This window comes from Homo sapiens, chromosome 8 (assembly GCF_000001405.40).
Source record: "Homo sapiens chromosome 8, GRCh38.p14 Primary Assembly".
Lineage (NCBI taxonomy): Eukaryota > Metazoa > Chordata > Mammalia > Primates > Hominidae > Homo > Homo sapiens.
Genome location: NC_000008.11, coordinates 26609183 through 26628084, shown reverse-complemented (window position 1 = coordinate 26628084; position 18902 = coordinate 26609183). Strand labels below are relative to the sequence as shown.

At 46.5% G+C, this 18902-nt stretch overlaps 1 protein-coding gene across 3 annotated transcripts in view, besides 2 other annotated features; it reads right to left on the bottom strand.

Annotated features, from left to right (window-relative positions):
* The window catches only part of DPYSL2 (dihydropyrimidinase like 2), a 144145-nt gene that overhangs the window by 30091 nt on the left and 95152 nt on the right, over nt 1–18902 (bottom strand). For all 3 annotated transcript variants that reach the window (NM_001197293.3, NM_001386.6, NM_001244604.2), the window contains exons 4-7: nt 3778–3942; nt 1407–1468; nt 790–870; nt 145–213 (exon numbers count right to left, since the gene is read on the bottom strand). In NM_001197293.3, coding sequence (NP_001184222.1) covers nt 145–213; nt 790–870; nt 1407–1468; nt 3778–3942 — 377 coding nt within the window. The remainder of the gene's footprint in view (nt 1–144; nt 214–789; nt 871–1406; nt 1469–3777; nt 3943–18902) is intronic.
* Nucleotides 95–594: an enhancer, noted in NCBI's record as "H3K27ac hESC enhancer chr8:26485007-26485506 (GRCh37/hg19 assembly coordinates)". NCBI's record gives its function as "activates a minimal SCP1, AML or CMV promoter by ChIP-STARR-seq in primed H9 embryonic stem cells {active_cell/tissue: H9 hESC(primed)}" and the evidence as "EXISTENCE:reporter gene assay evidence [ECO:0000049][PMID:30033119]".
* Nucleotides 18699–18818: an enhancer, noted in NCBI's record as "active region_27130". NCBI's record gives its function as "activates an Ori minimal core promoter by ATAC-STARR-seq in GM12878 lymphoblastoid cells {active_cell/tissue: GM12878}" and the evidence as "EXISTENCE:reporter gene assay evidence [ECO:0000049][PMID:35858748]".

The following is an 18902-nucleotide window of genomic DNA, read 5'->3' as shown; positions in this document are numbered from 1 at the left end:
ACACACGTGACCCACAGCTTCTCAGAAAGACCACAGTCAGCATCAGAGAAGCCCCCTTCTCAACAGGCAGGAAGCAGGTTCCCTGAGGCTCTGCACAGTGCCCAAGGGACACTGATTCACGCATTCCGCTTGGTGAACATTCACCTCCTCAGGTCGGCTCAGCACATGTCCCTCGGGGCCCGTGATGCCCAGATCCAGGATCCTCTGCTGCTCCTGCAATGTTTAGAGAAAGTCAGGCTGTGAGGGAGAGTGGATTTTGCACAGCTCTGATGGCAGAGGCCCGGGCATGCAGTTATCCGGGCAAGATGGAAAATTACCACTGCCGATCGTTCTGCCCTCATCCCAAGACCTCATGAAGAGAAGGGTTCACTGCCCTGTTCCCAGTCCCGCCTGAGCAGGATGGATCAATTACAGCCTCCCAAAACCCATTCAGCTGTTCCCTGGGATGCTGACGACTGGTGCATTTGCAACCCTCAGCCACGGTGTAAAATGCCTGTGTGTGACGTGAGGGTTCCCGTACCCCACCCAAGGCAGCTGCGTTACAGCACCGAGAGAAATGGCCTCTCTCTGCAATAGTAACTGACTTAGATGTTCTGTGGCACACACGGAGAGGCACGTGTGTCACTGGCATTCATGCCATGGGTGAGACTGAGCAGAGCTCCAGCAAGGGAACACCAGGTCCCTCTGCTTTTCCACCTTGGTGTTAAGCTACAGATGCAGCTTCCCTTTCTTGAGCCTGCCTCTCACCCTCCAGGTGATGAAGAAATGACGAAAAAGAAAGCCCTGTACCTCTGCAATGATGTCGCCATTTTCTGCGTGGACTTGGGCTATGGCGCCAATATCCCGGATCACACTCAGTACTTCATAAATCTGAGAGAGAGACAAGGGTGGGATCAGAGACAGGGACTTCCATCTTCCTGTTCACAAAGACAATCATCTCCCCACCAGAGGCATTTCTGGGATGAGAAACAGGACACCTAGGCGATTCTATTAGCCTGACTTTTTTTGATATGATGAGGGCAATGTTACTGGCCACATTTGATGGAGAAAGACCCCTCAGAAATTAACAGAGGCAGTACAACTTAGCAGGACGTGGACCGGGAGTGAGAAGCTCTTGGGTGACACCTGGCTCTGCACCAGGTTTGCTAAGGAGGTTCTGAGTGCCGCTCCCACACACGCCGTGCGGGGCAGAGCCTCAGATCCAGGGCGGCGGAGTGGCAGTGCTGGGGGCCAGGGCACTGCGTTCATACTCTCTTCCAAGGCTCAGTTACATCAGTAACTGCATCCACCAGCCACTTCCCAGGAAGCTAGGAAACATGCATACATCGGAGACTGCTTTCCCAAACGGCCACAGCCTGAAGGTACCAAATGTCAGGGTGCCTCTTCCGAAAAGCCGACTTTCTTACCTGGCAATCCGTTAGCTGGAAGCGATCTTTGAAAGCCATGTACACGAGGAAGGAATTTACCCCTAGTGCGGACAAAATAGAGAAGTGGACTTTTAATAGATAAACCAAATAACCAAATAAGGGATAAGAAAGTGATAATACTGTCTGTGTGTGTACGTGTGTGTGTGTGTGTGTGTGTGTGTGTGTGTGTGTGTGTTTCAGTACAGAGAAAGAGAGAGGAGAGAAATGGAGACACAGAATGGTAAAGGAAGCAGAGTACCATATAAATAACCTGTGAATGTGGGAGGAAGAGGCACAAGGATGCTTTTTAGTATTCTTATAATCTTCCTGTAAGTTTACAAGTATATCAAAATTAAAAGTTGCCAGTGTTTGCACATCCATGTTCATAGCAGAATTATTCACAATAGCCAAAAGGTGGAAGCAAAAATCAAGCCTCCATTAACTGATAAATGAATAAACCAAATGTGGTCTATCCATACAATGGAATATTATTCAGCCTTTAAAAAGGAAAGACACCCTGACACATGCTACAACATGGAGAAACCTTAAGGACATCATGGTAAATGAAATAAGCCAGTTGCAAAAGGACAAATACTATATGATTCCACTTGTATGAGGTCCCTAGAAGTCAATTTCACAGACAGAAAGTACAACAGCAGTTGCCAGGGACTGGGGTGAAGGACAGTGGAGAGTTAGTGTTTAATGAGTGAGTGTAGCGTTTTAGTTTTGCAAGATAAAGAGACCTGTGGATGGAGGGTGGTGATGGTTGCAACAACATTATGAGTGTATTTTAAAACAATGAACTGCACACACACTTAAAAATGGTTAAGATGGTAACTTGAATGTTATATTTATTTTACCACAGTTAATTTTTTAAGCTGCCTCTACCAAACAAGTCTGTTGCGACTGTAACAAGAAAATGAATTAGAAGTTTCTGCCTATGAAGAACTGTGATAAATGTCTTTTCTTTGGCAGACAGACTGCCTTCCATGCTGATTTTTAAGCAAATGATTTTTTAAGTAAGAAAAGGTCCATTAGTTCAACAAGCAGATGTCGCAATTCTCATCCTGGCGTCTTGGAGTTCTTGCCTCCCTAGGCACCAGACCAAACATCCCTGCCCAACATTCATCACAATTTTAAACAATTGTCCTGACAACCTCGCAGCCTTGGAGTTTAATTCAAGCCACCTGGGGGGTGCTGGGAGCTGCCTGAGTTAAATGCCTCTGGACATCCTGGCCCTTCTCCCGTTGCCAGGCAACAGTTACCATGGTAACCCTCCTGCCTGGTTTGGAGCAGATTCAGTCTAAGTATCCACAGTTAAACCACTTGGAGTCTCCGCATGATCAAAAGTGAGAAAAGTCAAAGTTTACCTATTTTCTTTTATGTGGAAGCTTTGTGCTGGAAAGAATCTTAGAGGACATCTAGTCCAAGACCCTCATATATGAGAAATGTTTAAAAAACTGAGACCCATAAAATTTCAGCAAATTACCCAGGGTCACACAGTTAGTCTGTGGAAGATCAGAGAAATAAACCCAAGACTCTTGCTTTTCATTCCGGGGCATTTTCTATCATTCTAGTACCTAGAGATTTCCCTCTTGCCATGTCACTCACAGCACATGGTGTTTCTAAGCCTGGAAGTCCCCAGAACCCTAAAGCAATAGGTGTTTCCCTGAACACTAAGATCCAGTGAAGTTAATCTGGTCTCTAGCCAAGCCCAGCGAGACCCAGGAAGATGATGTGGCCTGGCTCTTCCCCGCAAACCCCCGAGGTTCTTGTTGACAAGAGTCCCAGAGGCACCTTGAGGTGGTAAAGATTCCTCCTGCCTCTCTGTGAATCTTCCCAATCCCTGGAAATTTGTTCTCCAAAATAATTCTAGGGAAAGGAAAAGCCCTCTCAGGTTGTCACTCAGTTTTGAAGTGTCTCATAGCCCTCAAATCTATCCTAGATCCATCCAGGTTTGTAGGAAGGGGCTGCCCAACACTCTCCTGAGACTGTCAAATCCTCACTGAGATATGTATTTGTTATCTTTTGAGGGTAAATCTCTCTCTCAGCAGCCTCAACTCCCCACCCTGGCTAGAGAGCACGGTGCTCACAAACCAATAAGCTGTGAGCAGCTGTCACCTAAGAACAGGTCCCAGCAGTAAGCCTCATCTTCTCTTATCATCAATGAAGGCTCATGTTACTGCACTGGGTAAGGCCACCTCCAAACAGCATAAGCTGCGGCCCAAAGCCCTCTCTCCTTCCCAGGGGCAGGCATGGGCATGAGGCACAAATGGGATCTGGAAGCATTATCACTTTCTTCCCAGGGCTGTGCCAGTTGATGGACTGAAGCGGAAACATCTGCAGAGGGCATTGACTCAGTGCAACCTACCGTGATCCTTCACAAGCGCTTCCATCTCCTCCTGGATGCCCTTATGCCACTCACTGATGTCCACATGCAGAGAGTAGTCACAGCAGGACTTGCTGTCGGCCCATTCCCTCCACTGGTCAAAGGCAGCGAGCAGGCTTGTCCCAGGCTCAGGAACAACGTGGTCAACTAGAAAGAAACAGACATATGTCATCATCACCAAGAGCCTCAAGGGCCGTGGGCCAGCAGGTATTTTCCCACTTGAACCCTGAATAAGGCTTCTTGGGTTCAAAATCGAGATGGTGATCTCTACAACCAGCTTCTAAGAATCCATGTAACCCAGCTGATTATCCAAGAGGGAGAAAGCAGAAAGCAGAAACTTGGCATTGGATGATGTCTCCAGCGAAACCACACATGCACTGCCCAGATCTGATTTCCCAAAACCCCTGAAAGCTCAAGCTTTGGGTGCATTTCACGGACAACGAGTCCTTATGGACAATGGCAGTGTCAAATGGCCGGGGAGCAGCCAAACCCTTCTTTGTGTTGAAAGCAGCTTATGAGACGCCCCCCGCCAGACGGCAGGGAACTTGAAGGTGCTGGAGCAGAGCCACACGGACCGGGCCTTTCAAAAGTTCCCGGGCATTACCTGCTCTCTCATTACCGCTCACATTTCTGCAGCATAATACCACTTTGTAATTTAAGGGAAATCTTTCATCTTAAGAGTTCAAAGTGTTTTAAAACTGCAGTCATTGTTATATTACTATGGAGGTACGCTGATCTGGAAGACTGAGGACTTTGGATGCAAGCTGACCCGAGTTGGTTTCCTGGCTCCATCATTCACCTGCATGGTGTCCTGGGGTAAACTCCTTAATCTCCACTGCCCTAATTTCTGTGCTGCTTTAAAACGGGGATATTACCTAGCACATACATTTGTTATGAGGATTAAAGGAGATAGCATATCCATCAATCTTATGTCATTCCCTGATTTAAATCCTCCAATGACTTCCCCCTGCTCTTCAGATAAAGATTCAAGTCCCCAGTAAGGTTTGCAAAACCCCAACCAGTGTGGCCCTGGCCTACCTCTATAACATGACCCTGGACCACCTCTCCCTTGTACCCTGCTCTCCAGCTACACAGACCGTTTTTCAGCTCCTAAAATATCTACCTGCTGCCTCCCACCACAGGGACTTTGCACCTGCTATTATCTCTCCTAGGTCTTGAAGAGCTCTCACCCAGTTAACATGATGGCAGGAGGATTACCAGGACTATTACTACCCATCTTCTGCACACAAGCACTAAAATACAAACTGAAATGATTTGTCCAAGGTCAAATCAAACTTGTGCAACAATAGAAATAAAAACCAGGACTGAACACTTAAAGCAATGAATTATTCTTCCTAAATATTAGATTTTCTACACACAGGTAAGCAGTTCTGAGCTAAGAAAACATCAGTCCATGTAATGCTAGAGAGCTCAGATTTCTGAAATGGTTCAAATCTTGCAGATACTGCTAAATTCTGATCAACTGGGCTTGGATTTGTATATGTCAGAAATATAGCCGTTGCACTTTGGGAGGCCAAGGCAGACAGATCACATGAATCAAGAGTTTGAGACCAGCCTGGCCAACATGGTGAAACCCTGTATCTACTAAAAATACAAAAATTAGCTGGCCATGGTGACACATGCCTGTAGTCCCAGCTACTTGGGAGGCTGAGGCAGGAGAATTGCTTGAGCCCGGGAGGCAGAAGTTGCAGTGAGCCAAGATTGTGCCGCTGCACTCCAGCCAGGGCAACAGAGCAAGGCCTTGTCTCAAGAAAAAAAAAAATATATATATACACACACACACACACACACATATACACACACACACACACACACACACATACAATATGGCCATCTAAGCTGAATTTTCTTTTGACAAAATTTACTTTTTTGTAAGTATTAGTGATTAGTAAATAAATGGGTACACACATATCTGGTATCTGTAATACAGATAATGTTATCTAATAAAAACAAAAATGATGTCCAGTTCAAATGCAAGCTTATTCCATCAGTAAAATGCTGATGTAGAAAAGTTGACAAAATAATTCCAATTTTTCTTCTTAAGTTGTATGTCCCCTCATCAACACCCAAAACAAAAATAAAAGAAAGAAAGAAAGAAAGAGAGAGAGAGGGAAGGAAGGAAGGAAGGAAGGAAGGAAGGAAGGAAGGAAGGAAGGAAGGAAGGAAGGAAGGAAGGAAAGAAAGAAAGAAAGAAAAAAAAGAAAAGCATAAAAATATCACTGTGTAGCAATCAGTTTGGGCAGAATCTCCCTACCCACTCCCCTGGCTTCATCTCTTGTCCTTCTACAAATCACCCTTCAGAAGCAGCTAGAAGGATCTTAAACCTTTCATCAAACACTGCCATTCCCCTTATTAAATCCTTTAGTAGCTGTCTACCATCCTTAGAGTCCAATTCAAACTCTTTCTCTTGGCCAGTCAGATCCGGTCCTAGTTGATCTCTCCAAGGTACTCTTTATCCCTGACCTGCTCACCCACAATGGCCACCCCGGCCATTCTTCACTTTGACCTGCCCAACCCCTGGGCAACTCCAAGCCTGTGCACAAGCAGCCCTCTCTCTCTCTGGAAACCCATTCCCCTCGCTCTTGACTTGGGCATCTCCTCATCCTTCTCACTGGGGCTATATGTCACCATCCCAGGGTGGCATCGTTTCTGAATCCATTTCACTCATTTACTCTCTGACCCCTGACTAGAATGTAAACTCCCTCTGAGCAGGTACTGAACGCCTAGATCAGGGAAGAGCCAAATGAATGCTCTAAATAAGTGATGGAATATTTCCTTCTGGCTCTCACATTCCACTTGCAATCAGGTCAAGCAGCAAAGGAGGGGCTCTCCTGGGAACCGGACCAGCTTTTGCTGCGGCAAAGACCCCTCCCCTCAACACTGCTCTGCCAGACCCTCACTTATGGAAATGCATTCCTTTCACTGGCCAGCAAAGGGAATGAGCAGAAATAATAATTTTTTTCTGATGATATGATTCTTTGAGTAGAAAATTTCAAAAATACAGAAAATTTTAGGGAAAGTTAATAATCCCATTACCACCACCACCCCAAAATCAACCTATTCAAATTTGGGTGTATTTTTACTGCCTTTTTTCTATATATTATACCTTATTCTATTTCTTTATCTATAGTCCACTTTCTTCCCCCAAAAAGTTTTAAAGTGGTTTATAGAGATACATAAAATACAAGAAAATGTGATAAACCAGAAAGAGTAATGCAAGATAAAGCGGAAGAAAAATAATGGTAAAATAAAATCAGGAAAGAGGCATGTATGTATGTGTATGTATGTACGTGTGTATTTATATGTGTATATGTGTATGTAAAATATGTGTATGTAGATGTGGATGCAAGTGTGTACATATGTGTGTGTTTGTATAGATAAATACTTGACATTTAGTCTTATACATTGGCTAAATTTAGAGTTAGGCTCTCTAGCCAATGTAAATAAGGAAGCCTGATAGGTTTAACATATCTATTTCCTTTAAGATTAAAAAAACAAATCCCTCCTAAGAAGAAGGATAAGTACTGGTGACACTAAGACCCACATGCTCATAGTTACTGAATAATCCTTTCCTTCTATTGATTCATGATGACTTTAAAAAATACTTTATCATTATTATTACTAGATAACATATCTAATAATGTTTTAAATTCACTCATACTTTACAGAGAGACAATACCAGGTTCTGTTCCTGGGCTATTTTGCTCCATTCATCTCAATCAGTACTAAATAGAGCAGCTTTTTGATACATTTTAATATCTGGTGGCAAAAGATCACTTGAGGCCAGGAGTTCGAGACCAGCCTGGGCAACATGATGAAACCTCGTCTCTACTAAAAATACAAAATTAACTGGGTGTGGTGGCAGGTGCCTGTAATCCCAGCTACTCAGGAGGCTGAGGCAGGAGAATCACTTGAACCCAGGAGGCGGAGGTTGCAGTGAGCTGAGATTGCACCACTGCACTCCAGCTTGGGTGACAGAGCAAGAGACTGCCTCAAAAAAAAAGGAAAAAAATAAAAGCTCATTTCCTCCACAAGATTTTCTTCCCTTCTCCTTAGGCCAAGGCACTCATTCCCATTGCAAGGCTCAAGCAAGCCATCTAAAGCCTTACAACCATCACCACAATCTAGATTTAGAACATCACCAAAAAAGAAAGGCTGTACCCACCTGCAGTCACTCCCCATTCCCTCCTAGCCTGCTACTCCCAGCCCCTGGCAACCACTAGTCTACTTTCTGTCTGTTCCACTCACCCTTAGACAAAGTGGGGAGGGTGACAGACAAGGACAACTTCAGGCTGGTGACTGGAACCATGACTCCACATCCCAATGATGTGTCGTCAGATCATCTGGTGCTAGACTCCTCAGACTTCAGGGTGCACAGTAATGATCTCCAGTGTTCCTTAAAACACAGGTTCTGGCCAGGTGCAGTGGCGCATGCCTATAATCCCAGCACTTTGGAAGGCTGAAGCAAGAGGAACACTAGAGCCCAGGAGTTCAAGACCAGCCTGGGCAACACAGCAAGACCCTGTCTCAAAAAAATAACATAAAAATAAAACACAGGTTCCCAGACCTTACCCCAGAGTTTCTGACGCTGCAGGTCCAGACTGGGACCCAGTAATCTGCATTTCTACTAAGCAACCCGGGAGCTACTGAGTCTGCCTTGAACTACCTTGAGCATCATTAACTGAGTGCAAATCTTTTCCCAAAACTTCTCCCTCCACCTCCATTCACTGCTCTCCATTTACCACGAGGGGCCTGTTTACTACACAACAGCATCATCACTTACAAAAAATAGCATGTTCCCTGGCTGCAATCCCATGGCTTCCTTGCATATCCAAATTCAGCTCCGGGGGTTATAAACCCTTGAAAAACTCAGGACCCGGACACAGCTGAGCACTTTGGGGAAATAAACATGCTTCCTTCAAGAGCTCATAACACTCAGAAACGTGTCCATGAAATGCCTCCAAATGTTTTCCCACAGTTTTCTTTCCACTGAAGCTCTCCTGGGAAGAGCTGCTCCAAGGGAATAGGGCAGAATGTCATACTCACTTCCGGAGGGAGTAGAGTCCCCACTGAGGACACAAGCCTGAAAATGACTTGCACAGAGCTCACAGGCCTTTCCTCTGGTGACCTCCCTGAGCTATCGGCCCCTCCAAGAGGGCAGCCTTGGCAACCCGACTATACCAGCAGTGAAAAGAGAATAGGCTTGGGGGTCAAGGAGCCCCCAAATTCTAGTTTTTGCTGCAGTACTCCCTTACTGTGGTTTAGCCTTTTGGAACCTCCATTTCTTTTTTCTTTTCTTTTTTTTCTTTTGAGATGGCGTTTCACTCTTGTTGCCCAGGCTGGAGTGCAGTGGCGCGATCTCAGCTCACTGCAACCTCCGCCTCCTGGGTTCGAGCAATTCTCCTGCCTCAGCGTCCTGAGTAGCTGGGATCACAGGCGCGCGCCATCATGCCCGGCTAATTTTTGTATTTTTTTTTTTTTTTTTTTTTTGGTAGAGATGGGGTTTCACCATGTTGGCCAGGCTGATCTCGAATTCCTGACCTCAGATGTTCCTCCCAACCTCGGCCTCCCAAAGTGCTGGGATTACAGGCATGAGCCACCGCACCCAGCCAGGAACCTCCATTTACTCATCTATAAAAAGATAGGCATGAGCTGGGTTCAGTGACTCACACCTGTAATCTCAGCACTTTGGGAGGCTGAGGTGGGCAGATTGCTTCAGGCCAGGAGTTCAAGACCAGCCTGGGTAACATAGTGAGACCCCAACTCTACAAAAAAAAAAAAAAAAAACATTACCCGGGCATGGTGTTATGTGCCTGTAGTCGCAGCTACTCGGGAGGCTAAGTGGGGAAGATCACTTGAGCCCAGGAGTTTGGGGATGCAGTGAGCTATGACTGCACCACTGCACTTCAGCTTGGGCAACAGATAAAGACTGTCTATTAAGAAAAAAAAAAAAGGCGTAAAACCACATACCATGCAGGGCTGCAAAAAGTTTACATAATAAAGCGTAGGTAAAAGCACCTGGCAAAATGCCTGGCACACACTGGGTGTTCCTTCCCTCAAGATGAGTGACTGGAAACACCCTCATGGTCTGCGTGGTGGGCCTGTGAATCTGGTTTATGAGAGCCAGGAACATGCCCCAGGACAGTGGCCTGAATTTGCAAGTTACAAGCAGTCTCTGAAAAAGGACTATTCCTCTTATTATGACTTCTATTAAAACTATCAAAGGACCCTACTGTTTTTTTTAACAGTTTTATTGAGGTATAATTCACATGCTATGCAATCACTCATTTAAAGGGTATAACCCGGTGGCTTTTAGTTCACTCACAGAGCTTTACAACCATTGCAATAATCTAATTTTAGAACATGACTCAAAAAAGAAACCTGGTACCCACTTACAGTCACTCCCCATTCCCTCCTACCCCTGCTACTCCCAAACCCTGGCCACCATCAATCTACTTCCCGTCTCCATAGATTTGTTTATTCAGGACATTTCCTATCAATGGAATCATAAAAGATGTAGTCTTGTGCGTCTGTCTGCTTTCACTTGGCATCATGTCGTCAAGGTTCATCCATGCTGCAGCGAGAATCAGTGCTTCCTTCCCCTCCTGCCTCAAGCGGTTCCCTAATGTTCTGCATTTTGGATATTAGCAAAGTGTGAGACACAAAGTAAATAAGCTGCTCCCTAAAACTTCAAAGAGAAGACCCGTTTGGAGTTTGCCATATTTAAATGACCCTACTTTTAATTTTTTTTTCTTTTATCCTTTTTCTTTTGTTGAGAAGGCGTCTCGCTCTGGCACCCAGGCTGGAGTGCAGTAGTGCAATCACAGCTCACTGCAGTCCTGATCTCCTGGGCTCAAGCAATCCTCCCACCTCATCCTCCCAAATAGCTAGGACCACAGGCGTGCGCCACCACACTGTCTAATTTTATTATTATTATTATGTGTAGAGACAATAGGTCTCGCTATGCTGCCCAGGCTGGAACTTTTTCTTTTTAAAACTCACTATAGACTCACATGGAGTTTTAAGAAATGACACAGAGAGAACCTTCATACCCTTCACCCCGTTTCCCCCAAAGGAAACATCTTGCCTAATTATAGTACAATATTACAGCCAGGGAGCGACACTGATAGAGAACCCAATATCATGAGTTTTTAAAGGGCTAGGCTGGCAGTATTTCTGACAAGGTCTCAAGGGGCCCTTTGTAATTAAAACCAGGGATGTCAGAAACAGCTTCCCTGCAGTTCCAGTTCTGGAATTGAAGCAGTTGAGCAGGTACCACAGTCTGTAAGTCAGCTGGGGGTTACGCACGTGGAGCAGGAGGGAGGGGAGAGGATGTGTAACCCTCCACCCTGCCCTCTGATCCCATCTTGGGATTACACACGTGGAATAGAAGGGAGGAGGGAGGATGAGGAGCCTTCACTCAGCCTGTGATCCCACCTTGGGGTTATACCCATGGAGCATGAGGGAGGAGAGAGGTCACCAAGCCCTCCAATCCCACCTCAAGGTTACACCCGTGGAGCAGGAGGGAAGAGGGAGGATGGGAGCCATCACTCAGCCCTCCGACCCCGCCTCGGGTACCCGCCAGCCCCTTGAAGCAAGGAGGGGCAGATGCTAAAACTCCTGTTGTCAGTGCACACACCTTCCCCTGCTCCCTGGATATTTACTCTATCAGCACTGCCCATCTCCAGGATCTTATTCCAAATAGTCACGGCCTCATTCTCCAGCACCATTCCCTGCTTTTCAATGTGTGTGAATCAGCCTCTCCCTTTTTCATCTCAGATAAATGAATCGACTTGAATTAAAAGCAAACCATCAGGGAGGCAGTAACACAAGCCATCCACTGGCTTATCTATGTGGCTTTCCCGAGCTGGCATCTACCCTGCAAAATGCCCTGCAAAATGCCAGGTGACCTCATCAACCAGGCAGGGAATGGCTTTTTTTGAAGGAGAGATAAGAGCCTTTGTGGGTTGTGCTTGGCAGTTAGGATAACGTGGTTTTGCTCTGAAAAAAAGGGCATAAAAGGAGGAGAAAGCACCTGCCCCTGAGAATTTAAGGGATACCCACTGAAGAGGCACTATTGGAAAGACCAGAGCCAGATACCTGGGGTCCAGGTCAGTTCTACCACTTCCTCACCATGTGACTTTAGACAAGAAGTTCAAACTCTCAGAGCTTCAGATTCCTCAGCCATGAAATGGGACTAATAATTAACTCAGGGTTCCAGGGTGTTGTAAACGAGGGAATATGGGAAATGCTTGAAGAGCATCTGCTACATAGATGTGGTTTGATAAACACCCCCAGGAAGATAAAGCTATGTTCCTTTGTAAGAAAAACGCCCATGCATAAAACACTGTGTAGTATTTAGGTGCCTCCAAAGCACGTGCTGCCTTACAGGGTGAACTACTTGCCTTGTACAAATATACTGTTTCTCCCGCAATGCTAAAGAAGCATTTTCCTAAGAGCTGGAACTATTTAGAATGTCTGTGCCTGAGTTTTTTCATCTTTGAAACAGTAAAAATAACATACATCCCAGCATTTTTCATGAGTGTTCAATAAGATGGTATTTGTAAGCTATAAGAGGCACTGTTCAAATATGACCAATTGCCATCTGTGTTTTCTTCTGTCTGGAAGAAGCAAGCAGGGGGACTGGTATACAGAAGGTGCTCAGTGCACACAGGACAGACCAAACATCACACCTGCCTCTAGACAACTTTAGCCTCTTCCTCCAAGGGAGTCATGGAACTATGTGACTCAATATACCAACCTGAGAACCCCAGCATCCACTGGACACTGAAGTCCCAGGAGTACCCAGCTCTCCCGTCGGTCCTCCCTGCAGACTCACAGGGCCTGGATTTTAAACTCAAGCCCTCCTAATGGATGCGGAGGGGCCAGGCCACCTTTGGTTAGCACACGCCAGTGAAATGACTAACTGTAACATAAGTTTAAGTCACAAACATTGAAAGGTGAGAGTCATAGTAAAAACCATTCTGATTTATTCAGCACTTCCTATGTGTCTGGTACGACTCTAAACATCTTCCATGGATTCTCTCATTTAATCCTCGCAACGGCCCCCTGAGCTCTGAGCCAGGGTTGGCCCTAGTTTTCAGCTGAACAGACAGTAAGATTAAGTAATCCGCTCACATTACTTAAAATGTGCCAGGCAGAGGGCCTGGGCCACAGAAGCTGCGCAACAGCCACACCTCCCGTGCCTCTGGCAGGTAAGGCTCTTGGCAGAACTCTGGATGGTGGTCAACCACGTGGCCTTGGCCAGTGCAGCCACTGACTGGCAGAGCTGGAATCTGACCCCAGAACGTGTGATCAAAAGAGAGCAAGAGGGCTAGTTAATTGAGAAGTGAAATTCAGTCTTATCCCTTCATATATTATAACTAAAGCAAGTGACCCAATTCAATAAACAGATAGGAAAACCGTGTCCTTAGCCTAAGGGTGGCAGGCATATGGAAACATGTTCTTCACTGCTCGGACCTTCAGGCACTTGAGTAGCCCTCTCCTTTCTCTTTCCTACACTTTGTTCAATGTAAGTTTGCTTTTAAAACTAAACCAGTATCTTCATATAAATCAAGTGGCACCATCGGTCATTGTTCAGCATCTAGAAGCCCTGCTAGAATGATTATGACTAACTCTGGGGGAAGTGTTAAGCCAAGATCTGGTAAAACGCTTATAAAACAAACAACCTCCTTTAAGTGATCTGGTGATCGGCCAACTTTGGAGGAAACAAAGAGGTAGAAGATACAAACTGTGCCCTTAAAATGCCAACAATCCAGTTAGGGAAAACAAAAACTCACTAAAAGATACGAAAGGGATACGGATAAAATGATCCTGAAGGACCCTCCAGCTACCGCCTGTCCCCACCCCTCTCTTCTCATCGAGCTATGGAGGGAGCTGAATGTTGCTGACGCCCCACCTTCTCGCTCCCATTCCCTCTTGGCCCACTGCACACTGGCCCCCATCCTGCCAGTGCCTGGAACCTGTCCCTGCCACATCCCAGTTCTGTTCCCTTCCTGTCTGTCCAGCTCCCAGACAGCAATCTTGCAAATTTACTTCCCATGTCTCAGAAGAATCTTCCGCTGGCTCTTCTTCCTCCACCCTCATTTTCTTTATTTTTTATCTTTTATTTATTTTTTTGAGACAGGGTCTGGTTCTGTCACCCAAGCCGGAATGCTGTGGTGCAATCTGGCTGACCGCAGCCTTGATTTCCAGGACTCAAGCGATCCTCCCACCTCAACCTCCCGAGTAGCTGGGACCACAGGCACGTGCCACCATGCCCAGTTAATTTTTAATTTTTTGTAGAGAAAGTGTCTCCCATGTTGCCCAGGCAGGTCTCAAACTCCTGGGCTCAAATGATCCTCCTACCTTGGCCTCCCAAAGTGCTGGGGTTATAGGCATGAGCTACCATGCCCCACCCGCCCTCATATTCAATGCTCACTTGGGAGGTCTGTCCCACTCATTAGATTCCACTCACACTCCTAACATCTATTCAAAATGTCCCAAGTTGGGGTTCTGAAGAGTGCAACAGCAGGGCCTTCCCTGGCTGGCAGGCATGGGGCTCCTGATCTCTCCCTCTCCTCTGTCATTTCCTCTCTCCTCCTTCCTGGCCAGCCCTTCTCCCTTTCTCCTGACTTCCTTCCTCCCGTCCGTCAGCATTCAGTCTTCCTCATCACTCACTGGTCAATGGATATAAGGAGCAGGACCCTCTTTAGTCTCAGGAAAAACCCCATGGTATGCAGCTGAAGCAGGCGGGCCTCTCTGGTGACTGTACCTGCCAGGATGGGCACCCACTGCAGGAAGGGAGCCACTCATCCTGAAGCCTAGAGTGGGCACCTGGAGCTGCCCACACCTGCAGCCTGCATCCCTGCCCACTGCTTCCTTCCTCATGGCCTGGGCCCTGGAATGAGGATGTCCCTTCCTTCCAGGCTGCTGGGAGAGGACCCTGGGAGGCCAGGAGTCAGAGCTGGAGACTGTGGGTAGGGAAGGAGAGGCAGGGAGCAGGCAGAGAGAAGGCCCAGATTCCAAACCCACTGTAATTTCACATTCTGAAGATGATGTCGCAGATGTATCTTGGGCTTTTCATCCCATTTTCCTGGATGAACACAGGCACAACCCTAGCTCCCCACCTCAGGGAAACATATCCACCTCTCTTCAGAAAGTTTCAAAAACAGGAATGGAACAGTTGAATCATTTTATAATTTCCTACACGTTTGCATTTATTGAATAGCAATAATATCAACCTCACATAGACATAGTGTTTTTAAGTGATTCACAAAGTGTTATCACGTACCTTATCTCATCTGATGCTCAAACAAGGTAGGCAGGACAGGTTTACGATCTTACATCACAGATGCAGAGCCTGGAGGCCACGGGACTTGCCTGCTGCTGTGCAGACAGAATGTGGGAGCTCAAACCCCAAACTGGGAGCACTTGGCACCTGCCTCCTTCTACAGCTTAAACCACCGCCTCCTTCTAGGCATTTCTATGCATAGCAGTCACCTCAACGATCCATCCCTAAATCCTTTTCTGTCACTGGAAACACATGCAATGGGTAACTTAAGTGAGTAACTACTGACCTTAACCTAATGTGCATGAGAAAAAGCCAATTCAGGGCATCAGATAATGAGCTCAAGTGATCCACCCGCCTCGGCCTCCCAAAGTGCTGGGATTACAGGCGTGAGCCACCACACCTGGCCCATGCTCATTTTTAATCATGGAGTTTTTTTCTTAATACCACATTATCTTAGAGTCTTACTAATTCAATTTTTAATGGGAGCCATTCTTGCGGAGAATCTACCATCATTTCCTTAACAATTTCCCTGTGGAAGAACCTATAGGTTTCTTCCAAATTTCCTCTATTATACATAATGTTCTTATGAACATATTCATGCAAATAACTTTCCCCCTATTTTAAACGGTTTTCTCTGGAGAGTCCTAGGGTTGGGATGACTGGATGAACTATGGTTCTTCATACAGATGGCCACATTATGTTCCAAATGTGTCACCTCTTCACTCTGTCACCAGCAATGCATCAGGATGTCACCCCAGACAGCGCTGCTTTTTCCATTTTCTTTGCTTACTATCTGAGGGGGTAAAACACAAAGCTCTTTTCACTCTACCAGGCTGTCTGTTTCAAATAAATGTCTACCTTCCAAGATCCAACTGGGGGACTGAGTCCTACATGAGAGATCAGATCAACTAGCCATACAAAGAAGTTACTGACAATTTTACAACCACATGATTAAATGGCTCTGGCCACCATCTTAGGTCTGGTGCCCTCTCAACCCTTCTCCCAGCTTCATCAACCTGAGGCCTAAGCGATTCCCAGCCCAGGCTGCCTTGTTAGGCTAGGCATCCCCGAACCAGGCCAGGCAGCAGCAGCAGGTCTGGAGCCAGGCCCCAGCCCCAGGCGCCTGAGTCCCTCTTTCCGGGTCCAGGGAGAAGCTGTGCTTTGTCTCAGCTCCATGTTTATGTTCACAGACAGACACTTAATAGGAAATGCCATCCGTAAAGCAGGATGACGAAATCGTGGCCTGGGGGGAAGGCAAGGAGAGCCAACTTGGTTACAATGCAAAGCTTCAAACTTCAGGTCCATGCAGAATTTCTCCAAGAGATGTTGAAATCCTTGGCTCAGTGTGGGGCGACATCTCTGTTTCCTGTAATTAGACAGGCATTCTGCATCTGAAAAAAGGCCACGTTTACAGCACCTCATATCCCTTCCACCAGTGGGAGAAACACGAACTTGGCTTCCAGTAAGTGTGTGGTGTTTCATTTCTGGAATTCCTCTAGGCTTTCCAAAGTCCCAAGAAGTGACTTCTCCTGGCCCCACCACCACCGTGTCCTCCAGAGACCTCACAGGCCCTCAAGCCTGCTGGCTCTCAAATACCCAGCTCAGACAAGGGGGCCTCAACTCCACCATCTGAAAAGCTGGGCTGAAACATTCTCTCACTAATGAAAGAAATGCTAGAGAGCCAGTAGAAACTGTGCGTGTGAGAACAGCAAGCACCCAGTGATTCCGTAACTGTCCCCTGGGAACTTTCTCGGAACAAGGACAGGACAGAAAGCCACAAGGAATCTACTACAGATGCTCAGGGCTTTGGCTCCAGAGCTCACCTGTCTGGGTAGAATCCTGGCTCTACCACTGACTAGTTCTAGGACCCTGGGCAAAGTACTTAACTCCTCAGTGCCTCAGTTTCCCCATCTGCAAAATAGAAATGGCAACAGTGCCTACTTCACTGTATAGGGATTAAAAATATGAACTTTGGAGTCAGAAAGCCTGAGTTTACACCCCAGCTCTACCATGGCTAGCTACAGAACCTTAGGACTCCTTACCCTGTCAGGGCCTCAGGTTTCTTATCTGTGAAATGGACCTAATAATAGTATCTACTCACAGCATTGTTCTGAAATAGTATCTACGAACAGCTAACAACAGTAGGGCCTACAAAATCGTGTGTTAAATAGTAAAAACATACTTTAGGGGTGCCTTGAGGAGATAAACCTGCTGAACATAATCCCTGGTACAGAACTAGTTTTCTCCAAGTGTTCTAGCACCTTCCAGTGCTGTTGTGGGGAGACGAGATGCACCCTTCTATGCCAGGGGAGAGCAGGGGGGATAGGCTAGGACAGAGGATTCCAATGAGGAACAGGGCGTGGGAAGGGACTGGATAAAGGCGTGATTGAGGGAAGGAGGGTGGAGGGCCCCAGGCATGGAACTTTGAGTCACTCATCTAGCTAAGTCTTCTGCATGAAACTGCATACGACCCAAACAAACAAGACAAATCTGTCCTGTTCACACAGCAAGCAGGCACTAATTGTAACATAAGAGTAAATGCTAGAAAAGGAAGAAGCATAGAGACCCTCTGTCAACAGACATAAACAGACTTTTCACATCCCAGGGCAGCCCCCAAATACAGGACACTGTGATGTAAACAACCTTCCTATCAAATGGACTGTATCCCAACAGAATGTATCAGGAACAAATCAATTCATCTCTCATTCTATCAAAAATCAAATGCAAGTAAAACCACCTATCAGAGCAGATAACACAAACGATCCCGCATTAACAGACTTCATGTCATCCCAATCAAAAGGAAAGAAACCTGACGCTACAGGCTCTTGCAGATCCCACGAAACATCACGACAGTTACATCTCCAGCAGGCTTTGAAAAACTGAAACTCTTCTTCCAAAACCCTTAGGGATACCAGGAGCCCAGGCTGGGGTGGACACCCTAGCTTTCCCCGTCCCTTTCTCATGTGTGTGCCTGTGTGTGTGCACATGGGTGAGTGTGTACGTGTGTGTATGCCCATGTGCATGTGACAGGGAGGAGGTGAGGAAGGATAGCTCCCTACTTCACTTCCTGGGTTTGAGGAAAGGCTGTTTTAAGGAAACAGACACTTCCCAGTTTTGACCACAAAGTCTGCCAGAAATAAATTCCAGGCGATGAACAAATTACAGAAAGAGTGCAGAGAAGTAATGAGTGGCAGGGACCCTGGGGGCTGGGGGACAAGCCAGAGGTGCTTCCTACAGGGGCCAGGGTCAACAGTCCCTGCCTGGCCAGGCTGCACTCTGGGGAGCTCCAGCTCAGCGACGGGTGGCAGCCGGCAGCGTCCAGCCCGATGAGGTGGCCAGAGAAACATGTGAATAACGACACTTCCTCTGTTTGTCTCAGCTTTTGGTTGCCTGGGGCTACGGGACCACAGATTCAGAGTTGGCTTGCCAAAAATAAGAGATTACAGGGCTGTACAGAACATCACAAAAAAATAACAGTCACGCCACAAGCTTCCACGTGCAAAGACTGGGTTTGACTTCGTTTTCCTTCCTGTTGGTTCCTTGCTGGGAAGGGAATCCAACTATAACTTAAGGACTTGCAGCCCCCACAGAAGAACATCTACTTACATACACAACGTGCAGAACTAAATGCGCCCCAAAAGCCCCAAAGCCATTGTTAATAACAGGAAAGAACAAAGAGCAAATGAACGGACAGGGTCATGATTACTTCTTACTGAGTTCTACACACAAACCCCATGATTTGATTACAAAAATCCTTCTGTACAAATATGGGTTGAAATAAATGAGGTGATGC